Here is a 12447-nt window from a genome sequence, read left to right on the forward strand (position 1 = left end):
AAAAGGCTCCGGTGAGAGGCAGGAAAAGATATTTCAGATGTTATAGATAATCTGTATGTGCATAATGACTAAGGGAAACCTGTTTGGAACGACTGAGGCTCTGAATAACTTGACACTGATTCAATACTGAATCATTCAGGAATTTTCGGAAAACTTCTCCGAGTAGATAATCAGCCAGAAAGTAGAAATACACAACTTTTACCAGGAGTAATGAATTCTTTACTTATCTGGGTATAAAATAGATAGGCATCACATAAATTGCCGTTGTCCAGTTAAAATATTCAAGCCCACAAAATTACTAAATGTATACATTTTTTCTAGGTCATTTTAGAGCTAAGGAACATTAAATTACAAACTCACGTCAGATTTTTCTCCAGCTGACAAGCCAGCCTTGTAGAAATTGTATTTATCTGGGAGCAATGCAGCATGGTGGATAAGAACCCAGGCTCACTGGGCTCCCTTCCTGATCCTGCCACTCCAGCTGTATGATGCTGACCATCAACGACCTCTGTGGCTGCAGACAGGGTCCTCGGTGTCTCTAGCCTCAGCTTCCTCGTTCATGAAATGAAATTCTAACAGCAGTGCCCCATAGGGTTGTTAAGTGGGCTAATGCATGTGAATGGGTTACTTGGTGTGTATGTGTGCTTTAAAAGGAACCAGAACTGGTCATGAGAGTCCAGGCCCTGGAGCTGGGCTTCCTGGGTGTAAATTCCATCTCACACCACTTATGTCACCTTTCTGCACTTCACTTTTAGGAAATAATAGCATCTGTCCACATCATTGGTTTGCAGGGAAAATTAAACCACTCAACAGATAATAGAAAAAAAAGCTTAGTGCCCTGCCTAGCATTTGGTTTGTCCTCCAGGGGCACTGATTCTGCGTGGCTGTTAATAACCAAATTCATACACTACATGTAAGGTGCGACTGGTTTGCTTTCTTACTTACTGCAATATTTGAAGCCGTCTGCATAAGCTTCATTTCACCCCTTTAAGATTTGCAAATATTTTGTTAGAACTTCAGGCTTTAATATGTGGGCTTGTTGTTGTTTGTTGTTATTGCTGTTGTTTCATTGTTAACATTCCCAACAATGGGGTCATTTGTCCTAATCTCCTAGTAATCCATGATAGCTAGGCTCAACATAGGTATCAAACTCCAACAGGTCTATCTTGTAAGGTGTCTTGGGTGCTGTAAAAACACTAGTTGCTTTCTGGTTTTTACAGATATGTCCAGTTCGATTATTTATAAGTAGAATTGGTTAAATCAGCAGGTGGCAACCTATGGCCTGTGAGCCAAGTGCAGCCTGCCATACCTGATTGTGTAAATAAGGTTTCATCAGAACAGTCAGGCCTATTCATGTACATGGGGTTTCCAGTGGTTTTCTCACTGATGCAGCAGGGATGAGTCCTCACAGCAGAGATCTCCACCGGCCTGAAATATTTACTATCTGGCCCTTTAATAAGATACTTGCCAACTTTTGGGCTAGATGAAAGCATCCTCCAGCAAAATGAGTGTCTTAATCAAAAGTGCTGTCTCTACATCACCTTTCAATCAGGGCAAAATAGCAGTGTTAATGGCATGGCAGCCAAGAATTTCCAAGCAGTTCAGAAAACCTAAACCTAGTTTCAGTCTACGGTCATCTCATTATTAGCATGCAAGTATCTTTCATTGACTTAGATGATGTATTGTTTAGTACATTTATCTTCTCAGCGATTTAGGAAACATATTTCCTTTCTCAAGAAAATGGCTTGTCTTCAGGATAGCAAAATCTCCTGAGGTAAAGAAGCAAGTCAGATCTGAAATCATCAAATCTGTGTAACCCACAAGCTTGTGTTCTTGCAGCTGGCTTTCACCGAAACTGTATGAGGAAGACATTTCCTAGTCAGCTGTTAAAATGTCTAAACGAAGTCAGTGGTCTCACGATCACAGTCCATGAACTTTGTGGCAGAAGGGCCACTTCTCCCCTGGGAATGTTAATAAGGTGTTGCCTAGGCCGGGCGTGGTGGCTCATGCGTGTAATCCCAGCACTTTGGGAGGCCGAGATGGGTGGATCACCTGAGGTCAGGAGTTTGAGGCTAGCCTGACCAACATGGTAAAACCCTGTCTCTACTAAAAATACAAAAATTAGCTGGACGTGGTGGTGCATACCTGTAATCCCAGCTACTCAGGAGGCTGAGATGGGAACTTGAACCAGGGAGGCAGAGGTTGCAGTGAGCTGAGACCGAGCCTTTGTACTCCAGCCTAGGCAACGAGAGCGAAACTCCATCTCAAAGAAAAAAAAGGTGTTGCACAAAATAGAGGCGCTAAAATTCTTGTTTCCATGCTGCAGTGGGCTTCAGCAGCTTCTCTTGGGAGTTAATCAAGTTTTTAATATCATTTTTCTGTTTGAAATGAAGGATTTGTAAGAGGCACTGGCAGTCTTTTCTTTCCCCTTGTAAACTTTCACTGTGTAGGACCTGAAAGGCCTGTTCTTCCCGCTGTGACCATTTGCTTTCATTCTCTCCCCAGACGAGGTGGAGAACACCTGTGCGGGCTCTTCGGGCGTCACTGAGATGGCGTTCACTTTCTTTTCGTTAGGTATAAATAAATCCATCCAGTACAGTTACCACCACTTGGGAGCATTGTTTTCTGCATTCTTTCAACCTCCCCATTCTTCTAATTTTAGAAATTCTAAAATTTCTCAATAGTTCTCATAAGAGTAAATATTCCAAAATCACATAGTTCCATGTGATGACCATATCATGACATCATTTTTACCAATGCCGGAAAATCACTGAGAGGCAATACAACAAAATTAATGTCTGTGTCTCTGTGATTTTTTTTTTAATTCGTATTTACCAGTCAGGTCTTTGTTGATTTTCAGAAGGGATGTATATAATAAGTATAAAATAATACTGCTATAGGAAAACATGGCTTTCCCTCTTGTACACAGGCTGAGGGACTGAATGTCTGGAATCCTGTGGACCACATGTGAATGAGCTCCCTTTCCCAGGTGAGGGTTGAGGAGGAGAAGAGGCAGGGGACAGGATGAGGAAGAGACAAAGGAATGAAATCATGATAACCACAGCCAGCCCTTCCCGAGCACTTCCTGTCTGCTAGTCCTCCCAGCCTGCCCAGCACTGCATAGAAAAGCTACTGTGACCATCTCCCCTTTGCGGAGGAGAGAATGGAGACATTGGTGTCCCGTGATTTCCTGAAGGCCGTCCAGCTGGCAAGGTTGGAGCTGAGGTTGGAACCCAGGCATCCTGACCGCAGAGCCACGGCTTCCCCACCCCCCCACCCCCACACCACAAGGCCTTAGACACAGAAAGGCTGTCCTCGGGCAGTCAGCCAGCCAGGGTCATGGACCAGGGCAAGACTTCACAAAGAACTTTGATTTGTGTTGCCCTGTTGGTGCCTGGCTATAACTTTATGGATTTCTACATCCACAGGCAAAAGCAAATCTGCTGAAACACAGGTACATTATGGTGAGCCCAAAAGGAAACTTCTAGTGATGTTACTATATTTAGGAAATAACATAGCTCTGTATATGTGAATTGAGGAGGGTGACGTTCATTGTCAACTGGTCAACAAATGTTTAGTATTTTGCATGTGCTCAGTCCTGTGAGTTTCACAGAGGCATTGATGAAATGTCAAATTATAAAGCATAAATTCTGTGGACAGACAGAATGGCCCTCTCTAATGGAAATGAGGCTCTGGTCATAGTCAAGCCACCAGCCTCTCACTCTTGCAGCCTCAGGAGACTTGAGTAGAAATTTCTACCTACAGTCTAGCTTCCTCTAGTGTCTTATTCATTCTGCAGTCGCAGTGATCTTTCTAAAACACAAACCTGGGCCAGACGCAGTGGCTCACGCCTGTAATCCCAGCCCTTTAAGAGGCTGAATGGTGTGGATCACCTGACGTCAGGAGTTTGAGACCAGCCTGGCCAACATGAAGAAATTCCATCTCTACTAAAAATACAAAAAATTAGCCGGGCATGGAGGTGCACGCCTGTAATCCCAGCTACTTGGGAGGCTGAGGCAGGAGAATGGCTTGAACCCTGGGAGGCAGAGGTTGCAGTGAACTGAGATTGTGCCATTGCACTCCAGCCTGTGTGACAGAGTGGGACTCCAGCTCAAATAATAATAATAATAATAATAATAATAATTTTAAAAATAAAAAATAAATATAAAATAAAATACAAACCCAGTATAGACACTTCTCCAAGTCCAGCCTTCCATGGCTCTCCATTGTCATTTGCTTGGTGCCCAAATGCCGTCGTGTGGCCTCCGTGACCCTCCAGGACCTGCCACTGCCTCCTCCAGTGTCTTCACGGGCCCTGTCCTAACAGCCCTCATTCCTGCCACACTGAAGGCCTCCTTGCCCTGCTGTCACCATAACCTTTCACTGTTGACTTCCTGCACAGCCTATCTTAACGTTCACCCCTTCTTGGGACACATTTGTTTGTCATCCCTCTTCATAGCCATTGTTAATGTCCAGGGAGGCCCTTGATCGGGTATGGCAGGGTGCACAGGCTTGTGGTGCCTGGCCCATGGGCCCCACGTGGTGTCTGTGACAGGGATAACAGGCATTCCCTCATTCCCTTCAACATAGTGAATGCTGTGGATGGAGGGCAAGGCACAGGCAGTGCATCTCATGGGAATGGAAGCCACAGTGACCCTGTGAGTCTAGGGGACCCAGTGGAGGACACAGAGATGGAGGGCACCTTGGCAGGCCATTTCCTGGCCTGGGTGCAGGTGTCAGGAAGATGCTCTGATGGTGTCACGGTTTTCTAGCTCTTTTTTAGTTTATGAGATGTAATTCCTAACATTTTTCTGATGATGGCGCTGGCACATTCTTAGTTCGATGGGTGTGGCATTGAACCTGAGGACAGTTAGGAGTCACTGCCTCTTGTGGCTGTGTGTTCCCAGTTTCCTTTCTCGGTTCCCTCATGCAAGTCCTTTGTGTGAGAAGAAAATATTCAGTGGGCAAAGTGGCTTCCTACCCAGGATGAAGCCCTCAGAGCTCTTTCATGCTGTTTCCTCTTGATCCGCAAACCAGTCTCTCTCATTCCCTTAAAAGATGTGATTTCATTCTTGCCATCCCTGCATCATGATGTCTCCTTTCAGCACTGTCAGAAAAGAGCTGGCTGGAGAGCACCCCAGGCCGGGTTTCAGGAGCTGAGGCGGGCAGGTCTGTCCTGGAGCTTGGATGCTATGAGAGGGGGCTTCTCTGTCCTGAGATCGGGAGCAACTGTGTTTCCGTCCTTGTCCATGCCTTTCCAGTGTGCTTGCAGTGAGCTTGCGTTCCTTTCCTTTAAAAGGAAAAAGAGTTTACTATATTGCTGAGGCAGGGGCCACATATAGGGCAAGACTGCCAAATTGAGCGTTTGGTAAAAAAGCAACCAGTAGACATGTTAGTTAGGTACTTGGTGTGACCAAATGAACCGTTAGGTCTGGACGTAAAGGAAGCAACACCAGAGATTTGCCATCCTGTGGTATCTTGCCAACACAGCCCATCTTTACTCTAACAGCTGAGGGGCCCTTTCCTGGGAGCTTTGAACTCCCAGAACCTCTGGCACACTGGGGCTTGTGGACATTCAGACAGGTGGGGGATGGAGGCCACAGGTCCATGTGTGTGAGCCCCGTGCCCTGGGAAATGGGGAGCCATGGAGTGTTTCATATATTATAGTAATGTTGTGTGTTCATGTTCGCGCTGGAAATACTTCTTCTTGGCAGCAGAGTGGAGATTAGCTTTTATCAACTCAGACTTAGAAGCTAGGGGACAATTAAGGAGCAATCCCTGTGAAAAATGACAGGGATCTTGTATTGGAGTTCTGCAAAGAACCAGAACCAATTATATGCGGATGTGCCTGTGTGAGGTAAAGGCTCTCCTGGTTGCAATCATCTATAAGACTTCGAAATAAAACTAATTCTTTAAAAGCCTGCCTTTTCTTTAGCTGACAAGAGACAAAGGAAGATTTATTTTAAGGAATTGGCTTATGTGATTGTGGGGACTGGCAAGTCCAAAATCTGCAGGACAGATCAGTGGACCAGAAGCCCAGGAAGGAGTTGCAGTTTTGCAGTTCAAGTCTGAAGCCCAGACTTTTTTGGGGGATACCTCCCTCTATTGAGGCCTTCAACAGACTGGATGAGTTCCACCCCCATTACAGGGGTCATCAACTTTACTCAAAGTCTACAGATTTGAATGTTTATCTCACCTAAATATGCTTTCACAGAAATGTCTAGAATAATGCTCAGCTAAATATTTGTCTACTGCAGTCTAGACATGTTGACACATCAAGTTAACCTGGACTCAGCCAACATGAATGATACACAGGAGGGAGTAGCTTTGCTGGAAAATTGGAAAGCCGAGTCTGTGTGATTTGGTGGGATCAGGAAAAGGCTGGAGGATGAAGCCAGGGGCATCCCACTTCTAGGATGACAGGAAGGGCAGGTGACAGGAAAGGAAGAGGGTGCAAAGATGGGGACCACTGGGTCTGAATGCCCATTACCCACCAGACAGAGATGTCTATAAGCAATGGTTTATACAGCTGTGGAGTGCAGAGAGGATGCAGGTGTCAATACCAGACAGAAGAGAAGACCTCTTACTCTGATGAAAAAAGTAGATAGAGGGAAAAATTATTTAAAAAAAATGCACACACATACCTGAAACATTTATTTTCACTTAAAAGACACAAATGCGCATTCATTTGCTAATTCTTTTAATTATGGCCCAAGCATTTTTTTGAGTAGGGTCTGCCTATGGAAGGATCTAAGTGGATTATTTCATAAAACATGCTCATTGCATATAATTTCCAGTTTGAGTTTCTTTAAAGAAGGATGAAACTTGTCCCATTTATCTGAGTGGGAAGTTGTTTTAAAATTTGTATGTTTCCTCAATATTTTACTTTTGTCTCAGCCACACCTAATTTGACAGCAGTGCTGTTTAATGACTGGTCTCCACTGAGTTATTCCAAAGATTTAACTTCGTTTTCATAGAAACAGCTCTTCTTTTCTAATGCTCATGTTTCATAGAGCTACACCAAATTATATTACATAACTCCAATAACAAATTCAGCTGCCATAAACAGATTGGAGGACAGATTCAGCCCATTCCCTGTGAGCCCTGGAGTGGCAGCAGAAGGATGCTGACATCCCTGGGCAAGGCTGGCACCTCACCCACGGGTGCTCAGCATGGTGTGGGCGGCTGCCAATGTGTTTTGCCAAGGGATGAAGAGGCACAGTGAGTCTCATGTGTCAGCTCAGAATGACTAAAGAAGAGTTTCTAACAAGGCTGGAAGTAAACCAGTGGGCAGGGAGGAGCCCATCCAGGCAGCACATCTAGTGTCCAGAGATGAACGGAGCAGACAGGTAGAGAGCCACTAGGACAGAAATAGATCCAGAGAATACTCTAGTGCTCTGCCCTCCAGAGAGTAGAAAGCCGAAGGGTCTCGCACAGGAAGTTATATACCCAGTGGAAAACCACTTGTGTGCTTCCATGTCAGGGTAGCAGAAGAATGTTTGTAACCTGAACAGTTATCAGTACATCCATTACAACCTTCTATGTCCAAATACAATGTAAGTTTAAGATCTTGCCCTAAGGGTAGGACATCCTTGGCTAGGATTATCTCCTCAGTTCTTAAGCTGAGTTGTTTAGGAGGCTTGCAAGAACGTTAATATTGGAGACCATTACCTTTACTTTTCAGATATCTGTATTTCAATGTTGGAAGAGTCAGTATGTAAGGAAGCGTCTGTGGTCCATCCCAGCTCCGAAACCCCTTTGGTTCTGGGTGGGTCCCTCTTTGAGAAGGAACTCAAGCTTCCATGACTTTGCACTCACAGAGGCTAAGTCACAGGCTCTGAGCCAGCAGCCTGCTGCAGACACAGTCTTCAAAATCAGGAGGGCTGTGCAGGACCAGACAGCCTGCTCCACAGAGGAGCTCAGATGGGCTTTGCTGAGATGCTAGTGACAGGGAATTAAAGCATCTGTTTTCCTCCGGAGGAATCGGTTGACCGGACTCCCCGCCCTCCCCAGTTTTTTTATTGCCACATCCTAGTTAGTCCTCATAATGGGTAAAAAATAAAATTAGTACAACTTTAATACAAGAAATTGACGCCACAAAGGGGAAGGGAGGGTAGCTCAGAACTTTCTTGGCCAGTCTCGGGGATTTTCTGAAGAGCTGGATGTTACATTTCAAAAATCGTGTTTCCAAAGCTGCCAGTCATCCAGGCCCCCAGGCTTTGCACAATTTCAGATTCCTGACCCCTAACCCCTAGAGAGCCAAGGCCGTTCAATTTCTGGTTCATACAGAACAGGAGCGAGACCAGGAATGTGCAGGTGTTTGAGAGCCCCACGGCAGCTGCCCCTTTGTGCTATCGTTGGACATGAGAACTTTGGATGTTAAGCCTGGTAAAGAGGAGGGAGTTACCTCTTACTCAGACAGGACTCAACCTCAGATGTAATTAGGTCTAGATCGTTAGGTTGCCTACCCGTGTGTTACCACCACAGTAGTTTTTAGTCCATAGCAAAGGTAATTGTAGTAGAAACCGTTGGCTCAATGGGTGGGTGTTGAAGGGGCACAGAAGCGGCAAGGGAGAGGTGGCCTTCCAGCACAGAAACCTGAAGAGGGCAAAATACTCTTGTTCTTTTGAGTAGAGCAGGAATGATTCTGACTGTGACAACAGCACTGTTTTGGAGAGGGGACTGGCAGTAAAATGTGCATCACCTTGCTTCTGGGAGCACAGTCTCCACACACATAAGACGAGGCTGGTAAATGCAATCAATGCTGGAGCCCTTCCCAGCACATAGAGAGCAAAGATGGGGACCACTGGCTCTGGATGCCCTTTACCCACGAGACAGAGGTGTCTGTAAGCAATGGCGTATATGGCTGTGGATCACAGCAGAGAGGATGCAGGAGTCAACACCAGACAGAAGAGAAGACCTCTTACTCTGATGAAAAAAGTAGAGTGCGTTGCTCTTTCTTCCAGTCTTCCCTGGAAAGTGGGCAGAGGGGCAGCATCCCAAGAACCAGAGTGCTGTTGCCAATTAGAGTTGACTGGTTTCCCTTTTAAAAGGGAATGCAAAAGCCCCCAGTGTTCTGCAGAGGAAACCCTCAGATGAGGGGTTTTTGTTGAACGAGGGAATTACTGAGGCTGTCTGTTTTGAAAAGCGAGGTCAGTTTCTTTGGTCTGTGTGTCTCATAATTCCATGTTCCTGTCTTTCCCCCATCAGTGAAAGCTCTGTAGATCATACTGATTCCTTTTAAGATAAGCTCTGATGACAGGATGGTGAGACAGGAAAACCTGGTAAAAATGGCATGCTGGCCTCGGAGTAGTATCTCCTCCACACCTTTGGCTCCTCACAGTCCCTGAAGATGACGCCCACAGCGCTGCCTTTGTGAGGAGCTTTGATGTCCTCGGTTTGGCTATGTGTGCTTCAGCAAAGAAATCCTGCATTTAGAGGTGAAAACAATTCAGTGTCTGTGTCTGGCTCATTGTAAATCTCTCCTTGGGTTTCACAAATCGGGCAAAGTGGTTTGACTTTTGAGACTGAAGAAAATGAAGTGACTGTCAAGTTGCAAGCTTCCAAATGCTCACAGCGAGCCCTGGAGTGCTGGGCCCTGTTCCTTGCCAACCAGTCATCAGAAATGGGCTGTCCGTTCCCACATGAAAAACCAGACTAGACCCTGGCATTAACTCCTAGATGGACACCTCCCAGGAGACAGCCCAAGGGTCCTGCCCTGCCAGACAGTGTCAGGAACATCTATGCAAACCAACTGTGGCTGGGAGGGATGAGCTGGCATGTTGCTGTCATTTCTGATGTCCTGACTGCTGGGTTTTTGGAGGATTTGATTTCTGATATACTGACTGGTGGACTTTAGGAGGATTTGGAGACTGGAGTGCATTGCTCCAGCAGGCATCGTGTGTGGGCACAGTGCAATCTGTCTAATAACTCATTCTACCTACTGTGCTCATTTACCTACTTGGTCACAGAGATCATTGTTTATTTCAGAGCTGGACTTCTACCTTTGAACTTGCTTGGAGTGTAGCTGGCACCAGGTGATACTGATGAAGCGTCCTTTGTCCTAGACCCATAGCAAATCCCCAAGCCAACCGAGGAGGATGGCAAGTAATAAGGCCCTTGGCCACCTGCCAGACAGGCTTAGGACATCATTGTCTCCCAAGTTCTGCTGATCCTGGCCTCTGTACTTTCAGCTTACAGCCGGCCTGCACTCTTAGTTAATTTGCTAACTAATGTTTTCCCTATGGAAGAGGCAGATTTTTCCAACTGACATCTCTTTATTGTTGAATGGGCACTGCTATCTTTAAAGCATTCAATTTACTTACATTATATTAGATCTCAAATTATACATGTGAAGATGCTGCTATTTTATATGAAGACAAGGTTGTAGTGTCTTCAAAAACCAAGTAATATTGATCCTGTCAGACCATGTTGGCAGCTGTCTTGACCCCTGGGCCATTGAGTCTGCAGTGTGTGAGTATCTGGGTATAGTCAGTGACACGAATGGTTTAATTTAGAACAGCCTACTGGACAGTTGTGACCCATACAGCAGCTTGCGGAAGTCAGGAGTCCCCACGTCTAACTCTGATGCTGAAGAGGCACCGCCTAGCGAATGCTGTATTCTAATGTTGCGTCTCACGGCATCCAGCACCCGCCACTCTGGACTAAATCCAGCTGGCAGCTGGAGCCCTGATACTTATCAATGCCTCGTGTAGGTTTGTGTCGTGACAAGGTTTCTGCCCCATTGTTATTCTCTGTCTTTATTGTGTTATGAGAGACTCCTGCCTAGAATTCCTAGAGTTATTCTTGAAAATAGAACAACAGAATGCTGGATGGTGAAACTTCAAAAAGAATCAGCAAACAAAAGACACTGAAACTAAATTCTAAAAGGGAGGGCTCAGGGAGACTTGCTGATGTGAAAGCCACAAGCAGAGCATGGCTGCCCTGGCGGGGCTTGGCCCTAGGCAGCAGCTCGGGCCCAGACCAGGGCTGGCCTCTGCATCTGAATTGTCATTATGACACATAATCTGCTGATGTCGTGTGTAATGACAAGGGACTTTACTAAACCCTTTTTGGAAACTTGCATTTTCAAAGAAAGCATTATATGCAAAAACCAAAATGTCATTTTAATTTTTTTTTTAATGGGGAAGAGGGAGTCATTTTGTTGAGAAATGACTAAAGACTGTTCGGCATTAGGGATATTGCATATTGATTAGATGATACCAGGAAATCCTGGGTAGACCGTTGAGCGAAGGCTGTAAACCCTGTCACTTTCTGGGTAGTGTTGAGAGCCACAAAGGAGCACCCTGGGAGGGAGCCTTGGGCAGTGGAGGTCCTGAGGGCCAGTGGGGACTGCGTCTCCAGAGTCCCGCAGTGGAAACTGACTGATTTGGGTAATACCAGCCACTTTGCATTCTTCCAGTTGGTGGACTTAGGAAAACCAAAACAAAGCGAGAACGCTTGTGGCCACTGGTGGGCAACTGAACACAGCTTGTTACTGTTCATGGAACCCTCAGACATTAGCACAGAAGCTTGCGTGGATTTTGACTCATTCATGAGCTGAAATGAAGACATTCCCCTAAAGCTCGGTTTTTTAAACAAAACAGACACTTGGTGTTTCCAGATGTGGTATGAAGGAGCTTTGTTCAGGAGGACTGTTTGAATGGAGTGCAGCTAAGAGAGAAGGCAGAGAATGGATCGACCCAGTTGGAACGTCTTAAGATGGTGGAGACAGAAGACTTAACGAGGCGGTGTGAAAAGCTCTTGAGCAGCCAACGTGTCTTTTGCAGCCTCAGTGTAGAATACCCATTGTAATTTATAAGGCTGCAGGATTGAGAGAGCAAATATAAGAAATGGGAGGAAAGTTAAAAACAACAGGAAAGCACACAGAAGCGGCAACAGAGTAACCGAGAGGCTTTACATGGAGAATTATCACAGACGGGAAGCCAAGAATCAATTTTTCATAATGAGGATGTGTATGTAATTTAGGTGGCTTAACATGGAATTAAAAAAAAATCCACTAATCTCGTTGACACTGGAAAATGGAAGCATTACCACAATCCATATAGGGCAACTCCTACAACCCTGACATGTGTATTTTTTATGTGTACACAAATTTACATTTTAGTCTTTGTATAATTTTCTTAAAAATATAATTGAATCTTTTCAGTGAAAACACTTGGTACAAAATAATTCAAGGCTTCTACAAACCAAAGCAAGTAAAACGATCATGGTGCTCGGTTTAAAGGCCTTAAGTAATGTGGTGTGGCTATCAAGGGTTTGGGGCGGGATCAATTCTGTTTCCCATCCAGGAAGTAGCATCAATTTCCCTCTCCTTCGAGGTTCTACCACCTAATTCATCCTCAGGACTTTCAGAAGAGTCCAAACCTTGGCTCTAAAATTACTTGAGTCACAGACTCCCTGGAGAACTTGAGGAAAGGCACTCAT

General features: G+C 45.3%; 1 protein-coding gene and 1 long non-coding RNA gene across 6 annotated transcripts in view, besides 1 other annotated feature; one reads left to right on the plus strand and one right to left on the minus strand.

The window, feature by feature from the left end:
- The window catches only part of ADAMTS16 (ADAM metallopeptidase with thrombospondin type 1 motif 16), a 179975-nt gene that overhangs the window by 148055 nt on the left and 19473 nt on the right, over positions 1-12447 (plus strand). The window lies entirely within an intron of this gene.
- The window catches only part of LOC101929200 (uncharacterized), a 163580-nt gene that overhangs the window by 29835 nt on the left and 121298 nt on the right, over positions 1-12447 (minus strand). The window contains exon 5 of one of the 2 annotated variants that reach the window (XR_001742583.3): positions 4183-5290. This is a non-coding gene — a long non-coding RNA (uncharacterized LOC101929200). Of the gene's footprint in view, positions 1-196; positions 5291-12447 lie in introns of those variants that run through there. The other variant, XR_007059119.1, reaches the window with a different exon arrangement.
- Positions 4652-4946: an enhancer, noted in NCBI's record as "tiled region #1512; K562 Activating non-DNase unmatched - State 13:Ctcf". NCBI's record gives its function as "activates a minimal TATA promoter and a strong SV40 promoter by Sharpr-MPRA in K562 cells {active_cell/tissue: K562}" and the evidence as "EXISTENCE:reporter gene assay evidence [ECO:0000049][PMID:27701403]".

This window comes from Homo sapiens, chromosome 5, assembly GCF_000001405.40.
Source record: "Homo sapiens chromosome 5, GRCh38.p14 Primary Assembly".
NCBI lineage: Eukaryota > Metazoa > Chordata > Mammalia > Primates > Hominidae > Homo > Homo sapiens.